Source organism: Homo sapiens, chromosome 10 (genome assembly GCF_000001405.40).
Source record: "Homo sapiens chromosome 10, GRCh38.p14 Primary Assembly".
Classification (NCBI taxonomy): Eukaryota; Metazoa; Chordata; class Mammalia; order Primates; family Hominidae; genus Homo; species Homo sapiens.
The window spans coordinates 79,604,632-79,627,349 of NC_000010.11; the positions used below are offsets into that span (position 1 = coordinate 79,604,632).

Here is a 22,718-nt window from a genome sequence, read left to right on the forward strand (position 1 = left end):
TCATCCATACATAGTCTCAAAGAGACTCAAACCCAGACTTGAAGGAGTGTTTCTGATATATAGCAGGACTATGGAAAGAAGAGTAGTCCAGGGGAGATGAGTCTCCTGAGACAGTTTCTTGAGGTGCCTTTTGATAATATCATTTTTGTCTTTTCTACCTTTCCTGAGGATTGTGGTCTCCAAACACAATGAAGATGGTACTGTATGCCTAGTGCCTTTGAGACCCCCTGGGTGACAGCTGCCTTGAACGAGGGGCCATTATTGCTCTGGAGGTACTTAGGGAGTCCAAAGTGAGGAATTATCTCATTGATTAGTACTATTATCACCTCAGAGGCTTTCTCTGTCTGACATGGAAATGCTTCTACTCAGTTAGTGAAGGTATCTATCCACACTAGGAGGTACTGGATGCCCCTTACCTTTGGCATATGGGTGAAATCCATTTGCCAGTCTTCCCCTAGGTAGCCTTGGAGAAGACACTATTAATTAAGGGGATTGTTTTTAAGGCAGGTCTTGCAAGCATTAACAACCTGTTTAACTGTTTGTATCAGGTTTTTATCTGAGAACAATCTGAGCCAGTCAGTAGGTTTTATCTGTACCTAGGTGGAAGGCCTGGAGAAGGCTTTTAAGAACTTTCCATTGGTTGCCAGCTGGTAGATGAAGCATGCCATCCTAAGAGGTGTCCCATTCTATTTCCATAGGAGAGTATTGAGGTTTTATTTCTCTGATGGGGGCCCTCCAAGATCAGTAAGGCTTCAAGTGGGTCAGAGACCTGGGGCCCCCTTGCTGCTGCTAGCTGCTCAGTCTAGCTAGCTGCTCATAAAGCAGGGTGTGAAATAGTTACTCTGAATGATATTGTTGAGAGCACACCTCTCTCCTCAGGCACAAGTGCTCAACTGGCCAAACTAATTACCCTCATGAGAGCACTTGAATTAGGCAAAGGAAAAACAGTTAACATTTATACTGATTCTAAGTATGCTTTCCTAGTTCTCCACACCCATGCCACTATCTGGAAAGACAGGAACTTCCTCACAGCTAATGGGTATCCCATTAAATGCCATCAGGAAATTAATAGACTATTTTGCTCAGTTTTCCTCCCACAGGAAGCGGCTCAGCCCCTAGCTGCTCAGTCTGCCAGCCCGTTTCCCTCAGCTATTTCATCCATCCCTCTTTGGTGGCCTTTACAATGTATTACTGCCACTTCCTGTGCGTAAGAATCCCCTCGGTTGCTTGAGTGTTTGGGGAGGAGAAAGGAGGAGATAGGTTTAATCCTTTCTTCGCCCAATGCCCTGGTCCCCTCTGACAAGACCAGGCTTAGGTGCTTCACTGAAGTCTGACAGAGCTGAGCTTCAGATTTTGAAACATTATATCCTCTGTTAGCAAGAAAATTAAGAGGAGCCTTACTGCCCTTCTGAGAGATTTCCTCAGTTGGAGTGCAAAAGAGAAGGTCCTCCATGTATTGCAAAACTTTGACCTGAGGATAAAGGAACTTGGAGAGATCTCTCCATAATGCCTGCCCAAACAAGTGGGAGCTGTCTTGGAATCCCTGAGGTAACATTGTCCAGGTTAACAGGGTGGTTTGGTTAGAGGGATCCTCAAATTCAAACAAATACTGGGAGTTGTGGTATAATGGTATGCAGAAGAAGGCATCCTTTAGGTCCAGGAACCATTTAGTTCCCTCAGGTATTTGAGCTAGCAGGGTATACGGATTGGGAATCATTGAATGTATTGGAACCACAGCCTCATTAACAAGGAGGTGGTTCTGAACTAGCCTCCATTTCTAGTTGGGTTTTTGTACCCCCAATATTGGGGTATTACAAGGGCTATTGCAGGGTTTGAGTGGGCCCTCCATCTTCAAGTTATCAATGATGGCTTCTAGTCCTTTCCTAACCTCTAGTTTCAGGGGATATTGTTTCTGGTTAGGAAAGGAGGTGGGATCCTTAAGATGGACCCAGACTGGTATGGTAGTTGTGGCTCTGACAATCTTCCCTAGAGTTGCCCAAACTTCTGGGTTAATATTGGTCTCTACTAGGATGAGACAAAGAGTTTCCCTAGGGGCCATCAGAATGATGGTCCCCACATGGGCCGGAATATCCCTACCCAACAGAGGAGTTGGGCTTTCAGGCATAATTAGAAAAGCTTTGGTGAACAACCCCAGGTACAGCTAAGGGGTTGGAAAAAATATCGGGTTAAAGACCTTCCTGAGATGTCCCTCACAGTCATGCTAAGAGAGGAGAGGGGGCCTGGATTCAAGAGGAGAACTGAGAGACCAGTCCCAGTGTCCAAAAGGAGGTCCACTTTCCTCTCTTCGATTTCCATGATTACCCAGGGCACCTTGATGATAATGGTGGTCTGGACTACAGGAGCCAGGAGAGGAGCCCTGGGACCTGTCAGTCCTGCTGCTGGACCATTTGGAAGACTGGCTCTGGACCTGGTGACCAGCATGCCCAGGAACAGTCCACCCTCCAGTGGTCCCCACTGCAGATTGGACAGGGTTGAGGTAGCTTCCTCATGCTGTCTGAGAAATTCTTGAAATGCCCTGATTTGCCACATCTGTAGCAATTGACAGGTGCACCCTGGGAATTCTGGGGTTTGTGGGCTTGTCTGCTGGCCATTAAAGTCTCTGTCTCTTTCCTGTATTTCCTCTCTCTCTTGTGCCTACCTATCTCTATTATAAAAAACCAAGGTGGGTACTTTCAGAAGGTTCTCTAAAGTACTCTCTTGTCCCAGAGCCTGTTTTGTAGCTTCCTCCTGATATCAGGGGCTGCCTGAGTAGTAAATTTATGCTTTAGGATTGGTTGTCCCTCAGCTGAATCAGGGGATAGACAGGTGTGCTTTACTAAGGCCTCCCTTGGCCTTTCCAGGAAGGCAGTGGGATTTTCATCAAATCCCTGGTCAATCATGGATGATTTAGTATAATTGAGAGGCTTGGTCCTGGTCTTACATAAGCCCTCCATTATGCACACCTGAAAGTGCCTCCTCTTCCAGGCTTCCATCTTGTCATTGGAATCCTATTTAGGGTAATCCATTGATACTGCTTCTCTCCCAGTTGGATAATGTTTGCCCCCTTCCCTGACACTATATGTGATACTAAGCTCATCCCCAAATCTCTCTGCTGCTTGCAGAGCAGCCTGCTTCTCAGTGTCTGTCAAGGTCTGGTTCAAAAGCAACATAATGTCTCTCCAGGAGAGATCAAATATTTGGGTGAAATTCTGGAAAGCCTCTATATATCTGTCGGGGTCATCTGAAAAGTTCCCAAGATCCCCCTTAATTCACTTTAAGTCCTGTAGGGAGGAGGGGAACTGGACCTTACTGGGCCCAAATTCACCAGGCATTGGTTGAAGGGGCAAGAGTGAGGTTGGGGCTTGTCTAGGGTGAGGATTTTTAGGAGGGGGCAAGTGAGAGGCTGAAGCTGAATAGGGAGGTCGAGGTAGACCCAGAGGGGAAGAGCTGGAGGGGGCTGGCTTCTCTGCTTGGGGTGCCTCTGGGATTCATATCTTTAGTTTCCTAGGCTTGCCCCTTGCAGTCCTCCCTGAGATGGCAAGCAGGAGGGCTGTATCAATCCTACACTGTCAGCAAAGGTCTGGATTGCCTTGCAAGGTATAGAAAACCTGCACATATGGGACCTCAGACCATTTGTCTTCATGTATACAGAAAAGGCCTGATCACCGGATACTATCGAAATGAAAGGTTCATTCCTGAGGTCCACCCGGTCCTTCATAATTTGGCCAAACCTTTGTGCAGAGGGCTATGAGGCATTTTTCTTCCAGATTAAGAGGATCAAAGCAGTCCCATTGGTTCTGGATACACTCCAGAGGGGTATAAGCTGGGAGTGGTGAAGAGAGATGGTTGCCTATTCTGAAAGACAGAGAATAGAGGCATGCCTCATTCCCTTCCTTCTTTAGTGAAAACTCAGGGTGTGATGGAGAGAGAAAGCAAGACTGTGGACTCTGAGGTGGCTTGGCATGGGCGCCCAAGGACTGGCAGTGTGAAGAGGATATCCCTGCAGAGGGAAGAAGCCCAACGTGGAGGGTGAGGCCCCGAGGAGAACGAGAAAGATACTGAAGGAGAGCGGACTGGACCGGCGGGGGCAGTGGAGCCTAAGCAGGGGGAGGAGGCTGTGGACACAGCTGAGTGGCCTGGTGTGGGCACTCGGAACTCAGCAGGAACTACAGCAATTCTTAGAGCTAAGAGTGACAAATTTGTGTTGGGAGAACCATCTTCTTAACGACATTCTTTAGATTCACTGGTGCCATGTGCTGGCAAACTGTAACTGTTTCAACATCAAACACACGTAGTGCCCCCTGCAGCCCGCAGGTGGGTGCTCGGCACCCCCTGGTGGTCAGTGGTAGGCCTCACGAACGAGTCCACATTGCTACAAATCAATCAATGGGCAACAGAGACAGTGTGATGAGGAATGGGATCTTTACAATAGCCCCAAAGTGCGTCCTCATAACATAGTCACTGATTAAAACCAGAAAAAGAATGTATTTATGGTAGTGAAGCGTGACACCCACCACCTTAATTCAATGATCAACAAGAACATCATCAATCTTGGGGCAAACTAAAGTCACATGCCGCCCGGTAGAATGGGAGAAGAGCGCAGCAGGATGTCTATCGCATTTCTGCTGAAGTTACAGAACCTGAATCTAATCATGAGCCAATACATTAAAAAAAAAAAAAAAAAAGTGAGGGGCATTCTACACAGTAACTCTCCTGTGATCTTCACACTGTGTTCAGGTCATGAAGGTGAAGGGAAGACAGAGGGCCTTTGTGGGTTTCAGGACCCTGGAGAAGCGTGACAACCGAATACGGCACATGGCTCAGAAATGGATCCTTTGCTATAAAGGACACTATTGGGGCATTGGGTACATTTTGCATAGGGCCTGAAGGCTATTTGGAGTTATTATATCCATGTTAATTTCTTGATTATGGTTATAATGCGAAAATGCCTTTGCATGAAAAACACATTAAAGTATTGGGGTGTTGGGGTTTCATGCTGACAACCTACTTTCATAGGTTCAGGGAAACATATTTGTACCGTGCCTGCAATTCTTCTGTAAATTTGATGTTTCAAGATAATAAAAACAAAAAGGAAACTGAGCCTCAAAATGTTACATAACCTGACTGAGTCCACATGGGTAATAAGTGACAGCTCTGGGTGAAAACTCAGGTGTGCCTTTCCCCTAAAGTCACGCCCTGCCCTGCCAACCACAAGGCCCTGCACATCTGAGTTGGCCTCTGTTCCTGCTCATCACCTGCAAAACAGCCCTGCCTCCCCACAGCCAAGTTGCTGGAGCTGCGCCCCACCTGCCCCCACCCTGCACTGGCCTGACTCCCCCATTCCACACCTGGCCCAGCACCCACCACATGGTGTGGCAGACAGCACTGGGGCAGCTGAAAGACTCCATGCTACAAATTGGCACTGCCCAGCTTCCTGCTTCTGGGAGTGGGGTCCATTGGCTGAGCTTCCGCTCCCTGGAAGAGCTCCAGACTCCTCAATGGTTTGGGATTTTTCAAACCAATTCCAAATAAGCCAGGGGAGATTTTCCTGTCTTGGTTCCCATCATTACCACCTCCACAGTTGGAGATTCCCTCCTAATCCAGATGCTCAAACCAGGACCTCAACAACTAGGGCTTCATATATCACTGGGACACTTAGCATAATCACCATTGCAGGTTGCCAGACATCACCCAAAGTGATGTTCTACCAAAGACAGAAACTGCAGCTCTCCCGTGACCTTCCAGGTGCTGCCCTGACTCCTCCAGCTGAACCTGCTAGGGCAGAGGGAAGTGGAACGTGCAGCATATTTGCCTGCCACTCTGCCCATGTGCCCACCAACTCAGCTGCAGGCTCCAGGGACACAGGCTGGTGGGGGGGCCTGGGGCTCATGGCTGAGCCAGGTCGCAGGACAGACAAGTTGGCCTGGATCAACCTGACCAATCTCAGCTGGAGCAGTGAGTTCTTCATTGTCTGAATCTAAACCAGGAACCCAGTGGGGCTTCCTTAGTGCCTGTGTAAGGGCTCTCGGCTTTCACTGCTAAGGAGCTTGCTAGGGGCAGGGTGGGTGACCTCAGCCAAGGGGGGGATTTCTCTTCTTACAGACCTGGAGTTCCTCTTTCGCAGGTTCTGTGCTCCCCTCAAGGGTCCTTTGAGATCCTCCAGCCTGAGTGCTCTTGGGGAAACATGCTGTGTAAACACTATGCCCATTTCCTGCCTGGAGCACAGGTTTTGTGGTAGGGCTCTCAGGGGTGAGGAGGAAGCCTGGCAGCCCCCACATCTATAAATGCTGCGTCTACCTTACCCTCTGACTTGGAGGCAGAGACCCAAGCAGCTGGAGGCTCTGTGTGTGGGTGAGTTTAGCCCCATCCCCTAGGTGTTCTCCAGCTTGAGGATCGCAGGCAGAGAGGACCAGCCCAGCAGCCACAGGCCTGACCAAAGCCCAGGCTGGGAAGGAGGGCAACTCCCCATTTTCCACTGGGAGGTGTTTCACAGCACAGTCAACATAGGTGACCTGCAAAGATCCTCATGTTTGTTATTTTCTTTGGCCAGATCCATCCCTACAGGGTTCAGCAGGGCCTACAGGAGGGGCAGTGAGAGAACAGACCCCAAAAAGAAAGGGGACTCCATGACTGACCACCTTGAGGGGGGCCAGGCTGCGGGCCCCGTTCATCTTTTTTCATTCTCAGGTCGCTGATTTCTTGGAGCCTGAAAAGAAAGTAACACAGCAGGGATGAGGACAGATGGTGTGAGTCAGTGAGTGAGTGACCTGACTAATAGCCTGGGAGGGACAGGGCAGGTTTTCTGCAGAGCACGGAAGATTCAGCTGAAGTCAGAGAGGTGAAGCCAGTTTCCCAGGGTAACATAGTGAGGCACTGAAAGAAAGGAGACTGCACTGGAGCCCAGGTCCCCGGGCTCCCCAGAGCTCCTTACTCTTCCTCCTCCTCAGCAGCCTGGAGACCCCACAACCTCCAGCCGGAGGCCTGAAGCATGAGGCCATGCCAGGTGCCAGGTGATGCTGGGAATTTTCCCGGGAGCTTCGGGTCTTCCCAGCACTCTGGTCTCGCCCGCCCTGCCTCTCGGGCTCTGCCCAGCTTCCTGAGTCCTGACAGAGCACAGTGGGGGAGATGTTGGCAGAGGTGGCAGATGGGCTCACGGCCATCCCTCCTGCAGGAGCAGCGACTGGACCCAGAGCCATGTGGCTGTGCCCTCTGGCCCTCAACCTCATCTTGATGGCAGCCTCTGGTGCTGTGTGCGAAGTGAAGGACGTTTGTGTTGGAAGCCCTGGTATCCCCGGCACTCCTGGATCCCACGGCCTGCCAGGCAGGGACGGGAGAGATGGTCTCAAAGGAGACCCTGGCCCTCCAGGTACTGTGCTGCAGACCCCACCCTCAGCTGAGGGACACAGACCCCTTTTCAGGAGGCCCATCTGTCCAGGCCCCTAGGCTGTGGGCCATAGTGAGCTGGGGGCTATAGTAAGCTGGGTGGGACTTCAGTCTGCAGGGCTGGTGGGTTCCTGGGGCCCTTATGATGGCGCATCCTGGAGAGTCTGTCCTCATAGTGCCCACGGAGTGATAGAGTGATAGCTGAGCCAGCCCTGGTGATAATGGGCATCGAGTCTCACTAGCTCCAACCAGTTGTGGGTGACAGATCCTACACATCCATGTCTCTTTTCTCTGCAGGCCCCATGGGTCCACCTGGAGAAATGCCATGTCCTCCTGGAAATGATGGGCTGCCTGGAGCCCCTGGTATCCCTGGAGAGTGTGGAGAGAAGGGGGAGCCTGGCGAGAGGGGCCCTCCAGGTGAGCAGGGTGGGGCAGGTGGGCAGTGGAAACATGGGCACAGCGACCCTGAAGTCAGTTACACGGGGATGATGGGGATCAGACAAACCCTACAGGTTCCCCAAGGGCATTTGGCTCAACCTAAGTAAGAGAGGATAAGCTTGAGGGAGAAAGCTGAGGTGTCTGGGGAGTGTGGTCACAATTCAGGGAAAGGCAGGTGTGGGAAGTCCTCCGTGCCTCATGACCACCGATGGGGACACACTGAGTCAGGTGTGGGATGAGGGACAGCACTGGGAGGCAGGGGAGGCATGTCCTGGGATGGAGGCCCTGGGGGCTGTCTGAAGGGTGAATGCGGACGAGGCATCCAGACAGACGGTGTGATCAGGAGCCCCACAGACAGAGGGGAACTTTGAAGCTCAGAGCGGTAAGCAAGTCCATCAGGGCAGTGCAGAGAGCATCATGCTTGCCCTTGGTGGAGGGTGCGGGAGAGGGACTTGCCCCACAGAGGCGGGCAGACAGAACCCCTCGAGGGACAGAGCAGGAAAGAGGACAAGGGGTGGGGGTCTCAGCAGGGGCAAGGCTTCACTAAAGAATAGGGGACCACGGGGTGTGGAGACACACTGGAATCTTGTGGACCCTCTGAGCCTAGGGTCTGGGTGGCGCCTAACAGCAATGAAAGGGCAGAGTTCCAGGATTGCAGATGGCAAAACACCTGCGTGGCAGCAAGTGGGAGTCTTCACTGGCCTGCCCCTCCTTCTGTGTGGGGCACTCTCCACAGGGCTTCCAGCTCATCTAGATGAGGAGCTCCAAGCCACACTCCACGACTTTAGACATCAAATCCTGCAGACAAGGGGAGGTAAGGGGACCCCCTGGGCCTCACGGGGTAGGAGTTTCCCACAAATTCCCCTCATTCTCAGCACCAGCTTCTAGAACATAGAGATTACAAATAGGCATGCACATGCAGGTCTTGGGGAAAGGAATGACGCTTGCTTTTCTGATGTCTTTGAATGGCCCAGAGGAGACAGAAGCAGACACAATTCACTCCCCATTTCATAGGAAAGCAAGTTCTCCACCTGCCTTGCTTTCCACTGAATTCCAGGAAATTGCACCATTTCTGGCAATAAGTAATTGTTACTTAGGTGAATGAATAAATGGAGGAGAGTCTAAAAGTGAATTTAGAAAACTGCAATTGGAAGAGGAAGAGAAGACACAGAGAGAGGCAGAGATGGAGAGACTGGGGAGAATCTGGTAGCAGAGACCCCAGGTGAGGGAGGTGGCTTAGAGACAAAGTGGTCAGTGGCCTGACCCGGACTCCTCTGCTCTCAGCCCTCAGTCTGCAGGGCTCCATAATGACAGTAGGAGAGAAGGTCTTCTCCAGCAATGGGCAGTCCATCACTTTTGATGCCATTCAGGAGGCATGTGCCAGAGCAGGCGGCCGCATTGCTGTCCCAAGGAATCCAGAGGAAAATGAGGCCATTGCAAGCTTCGTGAAGAAGTACAACACATATGCCTATGTAGGCCTGACTGAGGGTCCCAGCCCTGGAGACTTCCGCTACTCAGACGGGACCCCTGTAAACTACACCAACTGGTACCGAGGGGAGCCCGCAGGTCGGGGAAAAGAGCAGTGTGTGGAGATGTACACAGATGGGCAGTGGAATGACAGGAACTGCCTGTACTCCCGACTGACCATCTGTGAGTTCTGAGAGGCATTTAGGCCATGGGACAGGGAGGACGCTCTCTGGCCTTCGGCCTCCATCCTGAGGCTCCACTTGGTCTGTGAGATGCTAGAACTCCCTTTCAACAGAATTCACTTGTGGCTATTGGGACTGGAGGCACCCTTAGCCACTTCATTCCTCTGATGGGCCCTGACTCTTCCCCATAATCACTGACCAGCCTTGACACTCCCCTTGCAAACTCTCCCAGCACTGCACCCCAGGCAGCCACTCTTAGCCTTGGCCTTCGACATGAGATGGAGCCCTCCTTATTCCCCATCTGGTCCAGTTCCTTCACTTACAGATGGCAGCAGTGAGGTCTTGGGGTAGAAGGACCCTCCAAAGTCACACAAAGTGCCTGCCTCCTGGTCCCCTCAGCTCTCTCTCTGCAACCCAGTGCCATCAGGATGAGCAATCCTGGCCAAGCATAATGACAGAGAGAGGCAGACTTCGGGGAAGCCCTGACTGTGCAGAGCTAAGGACACAGTGGAGATTCTCTGGCACTCTGAGGTCTCTGTGGCAGGCCTGGTCAGGCTCTCCATGAGGTTAGAAGGCCAGGTAGTGTTCCAGCAGGGTGGTGGCCAAGCCAACCCCATGATTGATGTGTACGATTCACTCCTTTGAGTCTTTGAATGGCAACTCAGCCCCCTGACCTGAAGACAGCCAGCCTAGGCCTCTAGGGTGACCTAGAGCCGCCTTCAGATGTGACCCGAGTAACTTTCAACTGATGAACAAATCTGCACCCTACTTCAGATTTCAGTGGGCATTCACACCACCCCCCACACCACTGGCTCTGCTTTCTCCTTTCATTAATCCATTCACCCAGATATTTCATTAAAATTATCACGTGCCAGGTCTTAGGATATGTCGTGGGGTGGGCAAGGTAATCAGTGACAGTTGAAGATTTTTTTTTCCCAGAGCTTATGTCTTCATCTGTGAAATGGGAATAAGATACTTGTTGCTGTCACAGTTATTACCATCCCCCCAGCTACCAAAATTACTACCAGAACTGTTACTATACACAGAGGCTATTGACTGAGCACCTATCATTTGCCAAGAACCTTGACAAGCACTTCTAATACAGCATATTATGTACTATTCAATCTTTACACAATGTCACGGGACCAGTATTGTTTCCTCATTTTTTATAAGGACACTGAAGCTTGGAGGAGTTAAATGTTTTGAGTATTATTCCAGAGAGCAAGTGGCAGAGGCTGGATCCAAACCCATCTTCCTGGACCTGAAGCTTATGCTTCCAGCCACCCCACTCCTGAGCTGAATAAAGATGATTTAAGCTTAATAAATCGTGAATGTGTTCACATGAGTTTCCATAGCTTTGGTTCCAAGAAATATCACATTTCTGTATTTTTGTAAATCAAATGAACTCTGACTCTGAGCCCCCACTTGCCTGAAGATTGGAAAATTCAATCTCAGGATGTGCTTTCTTTGTTTGGTAGGAGGAGCCACCTCCTCTCCTCACTATGATGCTGCAGAGGGATGGGGAGCTACAGCCACCATTTGGAAGAACATACGGGCTTCCTGAGTCCACATGGTCCATTTGTGGGTGGGAATACCATGTCTTCTGTCCCCTACTCAGCCACCTGAATGATTTCTGCAGCCCAGCAGTGATGGTGGCACTCAGGGCTCAGTCCCAGGCCTTAGTGAGCCATCCTAGTCTCAGGTCTGCATGGAATGGGACCACACTCTCATGACCCAGGGCTGCGCAGGAATGAGACAATGTCTCCAATTGCTTGAGGAGGCAGCTACATATGTGTCCCACCTCCCACTTCTCCCCCTATAACACCTGTGAACACTCTTTCTCAGTGCATTTATTGCTTTTCTTGGGCGGAAGGAAGCTCAGAAAACCAATGAGAATAAGAGGAAATTTTTCTCAGTCTTTTATGAGTGATAATTTTTAATCTGATCACCATTCCATATGTGCTTAGGACCCAGCACAGAAATTATTGAGCCTTCTTCAAAATTAAGAAAAAAAGCAAGTAGAAGCATGTACAGATGTATCTCGACTTATGATGGGGTGACATCCCAATAATCACATTGCAGGATGAGAATATATTAAGTGGAAAATGCATTTAATACACCTAACCTACCAAACATCATAGCTGAGCCTGGAGTAACTTAAACATGCCCAGAAAACTTATGTTAGCCTGCAGTTGGGCAAAATCATCTAACACAAGGCTGATTTTATAATGAGGTGTTGACTGTCTCATGAAATTTATGGAATGCTGGACTGAAACTGAATGAATAATTCAGTTATATGTGTACTTGAAGTATGGCTTCTACTGGATTTGCATTGCTTTTAAGTCATTGCAAAGTGGAAAAATTGTAAGTCGGACAGTTGTAAATCCAGGACAGTCTACATTCCCAATTATATAGATAAATACTTTAAGCCTCTGAAAATTTGCATCTATTGAGATAATCATGTGGTTTTTGTCTTTAGTTCTGTTTATGTGATGAATCACTTTTATTGATTTGCGTATGTGGAACCAAGCTTGCATCCTAGGGATGAAGTTTACTTGATTGTGGTGGATAAGCTTTTTGATGTGTCACTTGATTCGGTTTGCCAGTATTTTGTTAAGGATTTTTGCATCAATGTTCATCAAGAATATTGGCCTGAAGTTTTCTTTTTTGTTGTATCTGCCAGGTTTTGGTATCAAAATGATGCTAGCCTTACAGAATGAGTTAAGGAGGAGTTGCTTCTTTTCAATTTTTTGGAATAGTTTTAGTAGGAATGGTACCAACTCTTCTTTGTACCTCTGGTAGAATTAAGCTGTGACTCCATCTGGTCCTGGGATTTTTTTGGTGGGCAGGCTATTTATTACTGCCTCAACTTCAGAACTCATTATTTGTCTATTCAGGGATTCCATTTCTTCCTGATTCTTTCTTGGGAGGGCGTATATGTCCAGGGCATATTTATCCATTTCTTCTAGATTTTCTAGTTTATGTGCACAGAGGTGTTTATAGTATTCTCTGATGGTTGTTTGTATTTCGTGGGGTCAGTGGTGATATCCCCCTTATCATTTCTGATTGTGTCTATTTGAATCTTCTCTTTTCTTCTTTATTAGTCTAGCTAGTGATCTATCTATTTTATTATTTTTTTCAAAAATCCACCTCCAGGATTTGTTGATATTTTTAAGGTTTTTCGTGTCTCTGTGTCCTTCGATTCTGCTCTGATCTTGGTTATTTCTTTTCTTCTGCTAGCTTTGGGGTTTATTTGCTCTTAGTTCTCTAGTTCTTTTAGTTGTGATATTAGGTTATTAACTTTCTAACTTTTTGATATGGGCATTTAGTGCTATAAATTTCCCTCTTAACATTGCTTTAGCTGTGTCCCAGGGATTCTGGCATGTTGTGTCTTTGTTCTCATTAGTTTCAAAGAAGTTCTTGATGTTTGCCTTAATTTCATTGTTTACCCAAGAGTCATACAAGAGCAGGTTTTTCAATTTCTATGTAGTTGTGTGGTTTTGAGTGAACTTCTTCATCTCGAGTTCTAATTTGATTGCATTATTGTCTGAGAGACTGTTTGTTATTATGTCAGTTCTTTTTCATTTGTTGAGTGTTTTACTTCCAATTATGTGATCAATTTTAGAGTAAGTAGGATGTGTCAATGAGAAGAATGTATATTCTGTTGTTTTGGGGTGGAGAGTTCTGTAGACATCTAACAGGTCCACTTGATCCAGAGTTGAGTTCAGATCCTGAATAACTTTGTTAATTTTCTGTCTCAATTATCTATCTAATATTGTCAATGGGGTGTTAAAGTCTCCCACTATTATGTGTGGGAGTCTAAGTCTCTTTGAATGTCTCCAAGAACTTGCTTTATGAATCTGAGTGCTCCTGTATTGGGCACATATATGTTTAGAAGAGTTATCTCTTCTTGTTGAATTGAACTCTTTACCACTATGTAAGGCTCTTCTTTGTCTTTTTTTATCTTTGTAGGTTTAAAGTCTGTTTTGTCAGAAACTAGGATTGCAGCCCCTGCTTTTTTCTGTTTTTCATTTGCTTGGTAAATTTTCCTCCATCCCTTTATTTTGAGCCTATGTGTGTCTTTGCATATGAAATGGGTCTCTTTAAGACAACATACTGATGGGTCTTAATTCTTTATCCAGCTTGCCATTCTGTGTCTTTTAATTAGGGTCATTTACTCCATTTACATTTAAGAATAGTATTGATATGTGTGGATTTGATCCTGTCATGATGATGCCAGCTGCTTATTTTGCAGACTTGTTTATGTGGTTGCTTCAGTGTCACTGCTCTGTGTACTTTGGTGTGTTTTTGTAGTGGCTGGTAACAGTTTTCCTTTCCATATTTAGTGTTTCCTTCAGGAGCTCTTGCAAAGCAGACCTGGTCATGATGAATTCACTCAGCATTTTCTTGTCTGAAAAGGATTTTATTTCTCCTTCGCTTATGAAGCTTAGTTTGGCCAGATATGAAATTCTGGGTTGGAAATTCTTTTTTTAAAGGAAGTTGACTGTTGGCCCCCAATCTTTTCTAACCTGTGGTGTTTCCACTAAGAGATTCACAGTTAGTCTGATGGACTTCCCTTGGTAGGTGACCTGGCCTTTGTCTCAGGCTGCCCTTAACATTTTTTCTTTCATTATGACCTTGGAGAATCTGATTATTTTATCTTGGAAATGATCTTCTCATGGAGTATCTTACTGGGGTTCTCTGCATTTCCTTAATTTGAATATTAGCTTGTCTTGCTTGGTTGGGGAGTTTCTCCTGGATGATATCCTGAAGTATGTTTTCCAACTTGGTTCCATTTTCCCCATCACTTTCAGATACCCCAATCAGTGATAGATTCAGTCTCTTTACATAATTCCATATTTCTTGTAGGTTTTGTTCATTTCTTTTCATTCTTTTGTCTCTATTTTTGTCTGCCTGTCTTAATTCAGAAAGCAAGTTTTCCAGTTCTGAGATTCTTTCCTCCACTTGGTCTACTCTGCTATTAATACTTGTAATTGCACTGTGAAGTTCTTGCAGTCTGTTTTTCAGCTCTAACAGGTTGGTTATGTTCCTCTCAAAACTGGCTGCTTTGGCTGTCAGTTTCCATATGATTTTATCAAGATTCTTAGCTTCTTTGCATTGGATTGCAACATGCTCCTTTAGCTCTGTGAAGTTTGTTATTACCCACCTTTTGAGGCCTACTTCTGTCATTCAGACATCTCAGCCTCAGCCCAGTTCTGAGCCCTTGCTGGGAGGTGTTGCAGTCATTTGGAGAAAAAGGGGCACTCTGGCTTTTTGAGTTTTCAGCATTTTTGCATTGATTCTTTCTAATCTTTGTTGGCTTACCTACCTTTGATCTTTAAGGTTACTGACCTTTGGATGGGGTTTTTGTTGTTTTTCTTTGTTGTTGTTGTTGTTGTTTTCCGTCTATTTGTATTTCTTTTAACAGTCTTCCCACCCTTCCATAGGGCTGCTGTGGTTTGCTGGGAGGCTGCTCCAGACCCTAGTTGCCTCAGTTCTTCCCATACCTGGAGGTATCACCAGTGAAGGTGGTCCCAGGGAGAGATCAGAGCTCTGTCCGTAATATGTGCCAGTGGGAATGGCTGGAAAGCCTGGCTGGGAGGTCCCACTAAGTGAGGAGAAATGGATCAGGTCCCTGCTAAAAGAAGCAGTCTGGCCACCATCTGTCAAAGCAACTACATTGTGCTTCTGCGGGGATTCTTTCTTGTCTGGACTGTGTGGACTTTCCAAAGCCCATAGACTGAAAGGGCTGAGTCAACCCTCCTCCCTGGGGCTCCATTCTGTCTCAGGCAGGCTCCATCCTGTTACTGATGGCAACCTGGAATTCCAAGCCAGTGGGTATTATCTCGCGAGGTACCATGGAAGTGGAGCCCATGGAATGAGGCTGCTCAGGCTCCCTGGATTTTACCCCCTTCCTAGGGGTATGTGTGGACCTCCCACCTTTGTACCTCTGAGTTGCAGACACAGTTTTTGGGGATCCCGGGGCTAGGGCATATAAAACTCCTAAGTCTCTGTGTGTGCATGAGTAGCTGCTCTGCCAAGACTGCACACAGCTCTGTGTGTCAGACCTGGCATGGGCTCATGAGGGGATCTCCTGATCAGTGGGTTACAAAGCTCTGTGGGAGAACAGTGGTTTCCTGGGGTAATACAATCACACACCCCTTCCCTTGGCTGGGGGTGGGGGTTCCCTTAGCTCTGTGTCACTCCTGGGTGGGCCATTGTCCAATCCTGCTTTCCTTCATTGTCTGTGGGTCAAGTTATTTCCCTGAACAGTCCCAATGTGACTATCTGGATATTTCAATTTCAGGTGCTGTGTTCACTCGCCCCTTTCATTCCTCTTTGTGAGTGCCGCGAACTACAGCTGCTTCTAATCGGCCATCTTCTCATTTCTTTTTAGATTTATTTTTACTTACTTTGTGGTTTAATTTTCTGTTGTTACTATACTATTTTATATTCTAAATTAATTATTGCTAGTTTGTAAGAAAAATTTTTGATATATATTATTTGTTGATCTTATACCCTACCATCTTTTTGGAACCTCGTTTTCCCCCAATATTTCTAATATAACTGATTTTGTTATATTTTATATGTTTCTATTTACAAACAGTAGAAATTTTGTATATCTCTTTTTGCAATTTATATATATATATATTTTTAATTTTATTATTATTATACTTTAAGTTTTAGGGTACATGTGCACAACGTGCAGGTTTGTTACATATGTATACATATGCCATGTTGGTGTGCTGCACCCATTAACTCATCATTTAGCATTAGGTATATCTCCTAATGCTATCCCTCCCCCCTCCCCCCACCCCACAACAGGCCCCGGTGTGTGATGTTCCCCTTCCTGTGTCCATGTGTTCTCATTGTTCAATTCCCACCTATGAGTGAGAACATGTGGTGTTTGGTTTTTTGTCCTTGCGATAATTTGCTGAGCATGATGATTCCAGTTTCATCCATGTCCCTGCAAAGGACATGAATTCATCATTTTTTATGGCTGCATAGTATTCCATGGTGTGTATGTGCCACATTTTCTTAATCCAGTCTATCGTTGTTGGACATTTAGGTTGGTTCCAAGTCTTTGCTATTGTGAATAGTGCCGCAATAAACATACATGTGCATGTGTCTTTATAGCAGCATGATTTATAATCCTTTGGGTATATACCCATTAATGGGATGGCTGGGTCAAATGGTATTTCTAGTTCTAGATCCCTGAGGAATCGCCACACTGACTTCCACAATGGTTGAACTAGTTTACAGTCCCACCAACAGTGTAAAAGTGTTCCTATTTCTCCACATCCTCTCCAGCACCTGTTGTTTCCTGACTTTTTAATGATCGCCATTCTAACTGGTGTGAGATGGTATCTCATTGTGGTTTTGATTTGCATTTCTCTGATGGCCAGTGATGATGAGCATTTTTTCATGTGTTTTTTGCCTGCATAAATGTCTTCTTTTGAGAAGTGTCTGTTCATATCCTTCGCCCACTTTTTGATGGGGTTGTTTGGTTTTTTCTTGTAAATTTGTTTAAGTTCTTTGTAGATTCTGGATATTAGCCCTTTATCAGATGAGTAGGTTGCAAAAATTTTCTCCCATTCTGTAGGTTGCCTGTTCACTCTGATGGTAGTTTCTTTTGCTGTGCAGAAGCTCTTGAGTTTAATTAGATCCCATTTGTCAATTTTGGCTTTTGTTGCCATTGCTTTTGGTGTTTTAGACATGAAGTCCTTGCCCATGCTGTAAATGGGCTAAATGCTCCAATTAAAAGACACAGACTGGCAAATTGGATAAAGAGTCAAGACCCATCAGTGTGCTGTATTCAGTAAACCCATCTCACCTGCAGGGACACACATAGGCTCAAAATAAAGGGATGGAGGAAGATCTACCAAGCAAATGGAAAGCCATTTATATTTTTATATCCCCTTTTTATAGGGGCCGGGAGAACCTATACATTTTTGAAGAGACTCATTGAAATTTTTCATTGAGTCTTTGTGACATAAGTTTATGTCTAGAAAACCCCATAATCCTGGCCCAAAAGCTTCTTCAGCTGACAAACAACTTCAGCAAAGTTTCAAGATACAAAATCAACATAAAAAATCCCTAGCATTCCTATATACGCCAACAAAAGACAAGCCAAAAGCGAAATCAGGGATGCGATCCCATTCACAATTGCCTCAAAAAGAATAAAATACCCAGCAATACAGCTAACCAGGGAAGTGAAAGATCTCCACAATGAGAATTACAAAACACTGCTCAAATAAATCACAAACAAATGAGAAAACATCCCATGCTCATGGTAGAAAGAATCAATACCATTAAAATAGCCATACTGCCCAAAGCGTTTTACAGATTCAATGGTATTCATATCAAACTCCAATGACATTCTTCACAGAACTGTAAAACACTATTTTAAAATTCATATGGTACCAAAAGACAATAAAGCTGGAGGCATCACGTTACCCAAACCTCAACCTGTACCACAGGGCTGCAGTAACCAAAACAGCATGGTACTAATACAAAAATAGACCCATAGACCAAGGGAATGGAACAGAGATCCCAGAAATAAGGCTGCACTACTACAACCATCTGATTTTCAACAACGCTAAAACAAAAACAAACCAGCAATGAGGAAAGGACTTCCTATTCAATAAATGGTGCTGGAATAACTGGCCAGTCATATGCAGAAGATTGAAACTGGACCCCTTTTTTATACCATATACAAAAATCAGCTCAAGATGGATTAAAGGCTTAAATGTAAAACCCAAAACTATGAAAACCCTGGAAGACAACCTAGGCAATACCATTCTGGACATCGGAACAGGCAAAGATTTCATGACAAACACACCAAAAGCAATCATAATGAAAGCAAAAACTGACAAAAGGGGATCAAATTAAACTTAAGAGCTTCTGCACAGCAAAAGAAACTATCAACAGAGTAAACAAACAACATACAGTATGGGAGAAAATGTTTGCAAGCTATGCATGTGACAAAGGTCTAATATCCAGCATCTATAAAAACTGAAGCAAATTTACAAGAAAAAAATTAAAAACTGGACAAAGAACATGAACAGACACTTTTCAAAAGAAGACATACACGCAGCCAACAAGCTTAAGAAAAAAATCTCAATTTCACCAATTATTAAAAAATACAAATCAAAACCACAATGAGATAACATCTCACACCAGTCAGAATAGCTATTATTAAAAGGTCAAAAAATAACAAATGCTGATGAGGTTGCAGAGAAAAGGAAATGTTTATACACTGTTGGTTAGAGTGCAAATTAGTTCAACCATTGTGAAAAATAATGTGGCAGTTCCTGCGGCCAAAAAACATAGAAAAAAAGCTCATCATCACTGGTCATCAGAGAAATGCAAATCAAAACCATAATGGTATACCATCTCACACCAGTTAGAATGGTGATCATTAAAAAGTCAGGAAACAACAGATGCTGGAGAGGATGTGGAGAAATAGGAACACTTTTACACTGTTGGTGGGAGTGTAAATTAGTTCAACCATTGTGGAAGACAGTGTGGTGATTCCTCAAGGATTTAGAACCAGAAATGCCATTTGACCCAGCAATCCCATTACTGGGTACATACTAAAATGTACATAAATCATTCTACTATAAAGACACATGCACACATATGTTTATTGCAGCACTGTTCACAATAGCAAACACTTGGAACCAACCCAAATACCCATCAATGATAGACTGGATTAAAAAAATGTGGCACATATGCACCATGGAATACTATGCAGCCATAAAAAAGGATAAGTTCCTGTCCTTTGCAGGGACATGGATGAAGCTTGAAACCATCATTCTCAGCAAACTAACACAAGAACAGAAAACCAAACAATGCATGTTCTCACTCATAAGTGGGAGTTGAACAATGAGAACACATGGACAAAGGGAGGGGAACATTACACACCAGGGCCTGTCAGGGGGTGAGGGCTATGGGAGGGACAGCATCAGGAGAAATACCTAATGTAGATGATGAGTTGATGGGTGCAGCAAACAACCTTGGCCCGTGTATACCTATGTAACAAACCTGCACATTCTGCACATGTATCCCAGAACTTAAAGTATAATTTAGAAATATATGCAAAAAACAAATAATTTGCTGAGGAAATTTTTATCTATGTGCATCATAGGATTTTTGCATTATGAGTGAGACTGACCTGTGATATTCCTTTTTTGTATGTTCCTTGTCACATTTTTGTATTGAGATCATTTTGGTCTCAAAAAATAAAAAATTTTTAAATTTTTTTCTATTTTCTTGAGGATTTTGTATGAGATTAGAACAATTTCTTAAATTATTTGTAAAATTCACTGAGGAAGACATAATTATAGATTGAATTTATAAATCTATGTAGAAAACTATTTAGATTTTTGTACATCTTCTTGTGTAAGTTTTGGAATTTATATTTTTCAATGAGTTTATCCATTTCCTATACTTTTTCAAATTTATTGGCATAAAGTAATTTCTATTATCATTTTATGATCTTTATGTCTGTAGGATATGTAGTGTTAGACTCCTCATCGTTCCTGATACTGGTTATTGGTGACTACTCTTTTTTCCTCTTTATCAATCTTTTGATTGATAAAGACCAAAACGTATCTATTCTTTTGGTCTTTTCTAAGAACAAACTTGTGGGTTTATTTATCCCTTCTGTTGCATTTTATTTTATTTCATTAATTTCTGCTTATTATTATTAGTTCAGATTCAGGAGGTACACGTGCAGGCTTGTTACATAGGTATATTGCATGATGCTGAGGTTGGGGCTCCTAGTGATCCCATCACCCAGGAAATAAACATAATACTCAATAAGTGGTTCTTCAACCCTTGCATTCCTCCCTCCTTCCCTGCTTTTGGAATCCACAGTGTTTATTGCTCCTATCTTCGTGTCCATGTGAATACAATGTTTAGTTCCCACTTCTGGGTGAGAACATGCAGTATTTGGTTTTCTATCTCTGCCTTAATTTGCTTAGGATAATGGCCTCCAGCTGCATCCATGTTGCTGCTAATGACATGATTTGGTTATTTTTTATGGCTGCATGCTCTTCATTATTTTCTTCTATTTTCTTAGGGCTTAACTTGCCTTATTTTTCTAACGTTTTGAAATGGATATTAGATTAATGATTTTCAGCATTCTTCTTTTCTAAAATATATACTTAAAGGCTATAAATTTTACTCCAAGTGCAGCTCTAGTTGATCTTATATGTTTTGATACTTAATTATTCATGATTATTCAGTTACAATGTTTTCTAATTTCTATTAGAATGGCTTTTTATGGCCTACAGGTTATTTAGAAGCATATTTCTTAATTTTCTTCTTAAATATATAGGGATTTTCAAAGTATCTTTTTATCATTGATATACAGAATAATTGCTCTGTGGTCAGGGAACATTTTTAGAAATTTGTTGAAACTTGCTTTAATATCCCAGCATATGCTCTATTTTTATTAATGTTTCATAAAAATAGTATTTACCCTTGAATTTTGGGGTGCAGTGTTCTCTATATGTCAGGTAATTCAGGTTTTTTAGTGTGTCATCCAATATTTTATCATCTACTGATTTTTGCGTCAGCTTGGTCTATCAGTTAATAAGAAAGTTGTATGAAAATCTTCCACAAGATTGTGGATTTTTCTGCTTTTTCTTATAATTCTGTCAATTGTCTCTTTATATGTTTTGAGGCCATATTTGTAAGTGCATACATATTTAGAGTTATTGTATCTTTCTGGGAAATCAAACCAGAAATTATGAAGTATTTATTTATGAATTATATTTACGAAGTGTAAAAAAAAAGAATGAAAAATACCATTTGACTCAGCAATCTCATTACTGGGTATATACCCAAAGGAATACAAATCATTCTACCATAAAGACACATGCATGCAAATGTTCACTGCAGCACTACTCACAATAGCAAGGACATGGAATCAACCTAAATGCCCATCAATGACAAAAGAATTTTAAGACTACATATTAGTTTTGAAAACAAGAGAGCTTCAAGCTCCAAGATCTGAGAGATATAAATTTAAGCTCTTAATAAAACCTGCTGTTTATTAAATTAGTGACTTACATTATTTTTTGATGTTGAACCATCTTTGCATTCCTCTGATATACCCTACTTGGTCTGATGCTTGATACACTGATTACACAGACTATGGACCGGGCACTAGTATTAACTCACGTAATCCTCATTAACCCTATTTTATAGATGCTATCATTCTTTCAAATTTACAAGTAAGAATATCGAGGCATATGGAGGTCAAAGTGATTTGCCAAATATTATGCAGTTAATTCATGGGCTAATGAATGTAGGAAATCAGATTCCAGAGACTTCTATTAACCATGACTACATTGCTGGTCTTAATAGCTATTTTTTACATTGTATTTTTGCATCTGTACTTACAGATGGGGTTGGCTGAGAGTTCCTTTCTTTTTTTCTGTCCTTGTGCATTCTGTGTTACATATTTGGCTAATCATTTTAGCTAAGTAGCTGTAGACACAAACCATTTCTAAAGCAGAGAAATTATCTCTTCTCTGAAGACTTGATACAACTCGCCACAAAACCATTTTGTTGATGGAGAAATGGTTGATAATTTTTTACTTCCATTTTAATATTTTATGTGATAAAATAATATATTTATTATTCTAACACTTCTAGGGCCAATGTAAGTAATTATAAACTTTCTTATAATATTATGTATTTTAACTAGTTTTCTAATGTATTGCTATAAAATCTACTGTAGATGGTATAATTTTATAATGTTAGTACTATCTATTTTAGTATAATAATCTCTTTTCTTTCCTGATTTGTTAATTTCTTATACCTTTTCTATTAATCATTGATATTGTATCAGTCAGCTAACACAATAGTAAATCTCCCTCTCAGGGCTTACAACAATAAATGTTTTATTTTCTGCTCTGTATCTTCCAGTTTGTTGAGCTTTGGCTGATTTCAGCTGAGCGAGCCTGGACTCAGCAGCAGTCACCTGGACTCCAGACTTTCAGGTGAATTCATGTCTGTTCCATATCACTTTCCAGGGAAATATACTTCCCATGAGTGGGAAAGAAACACAAAAGCCATATCAAACCTGTAAGCACACGTAAAGCTGTGGCTCCCTTCATCTTAGCTCATGGTCACATGGCCACACCAAACAGCAAAGGGACTGGAGTGTTTACTCCTCACACTCTAGTGGGAGCCTTTGTGAAGTCCTATGGCAAAGGGCCTGAGATGTAATTT

The 22,718-nt window shown here is 43.8% G+C and overlaps 1 protein-coding gene across 17 annotated transcripts; it reads left to right on the forward strand.

Annotated features, from left to right (window-relative positions):
* On the forward strand, positions 6,308 to 10,824 carry SFTPA1 (surfactant protein A1). Of its 17 annotated transcripts, none has more exons than XM_047425668.1 (7): positions 6,308 to 6,351; positions 6,654 to 6,758; positions 6,951 to 7,010; positions 7,172 to 7,366; positions 7,681 to 7,800; positions 8,558 to 8,635; positions 9,106 to 10,824. In XM_047425668.1, the coding sequence occupies exons 3-7, from the start codon at positions 6,989 to 6,991 to the stop codon at positions 9,480 to 9,482; spliced, it is 792 nt and encodes a 263-aa protein (XP_047281624.1). In that variant the 5' UTR covers positions 6,308 to 6,351; positions 6,654 to 6,758; positions 6,951 to 6,988; the 3' UTR covers positions 9,483 to 10,824. The 17 variants fall into 17 exon arrangements, with proteins under 17 accessions (XP_047281624.1, XP_047281628.1, XP_047281626.1 ...); XM_047425672.1 differs by having other exon boundaries at positions 6,654 to 6,746; positions 6,948 to 7,010; XM_047425670.1 differs by having other exon boundaries at positions 6,654 to 6,746.

Excerpts from the sequence above, each read along its gene's own strand:
- SFTPA1 (XM_047425668.1), top strand. The coding sequence starts at position 6,989 with ATGAGGCCATGCCAGGTGCCAG. Across the intron at positions 7,011-7,171 it reads GAGGCCATGCCAGGTGCCAG|GAGCAGCGACTGGACCCAGA; the intron begins GTGATGCTGGGA and ends TCCCTCCTGCAG. Across the intron at positions 8,636-9,105 it reads AATCCTGCAGACAAGGGGAG|CCCTCAGTCTGCAGGGCTCC; the intron begins GTAAGGGGACCC and ends CTCTGCTCTCAG.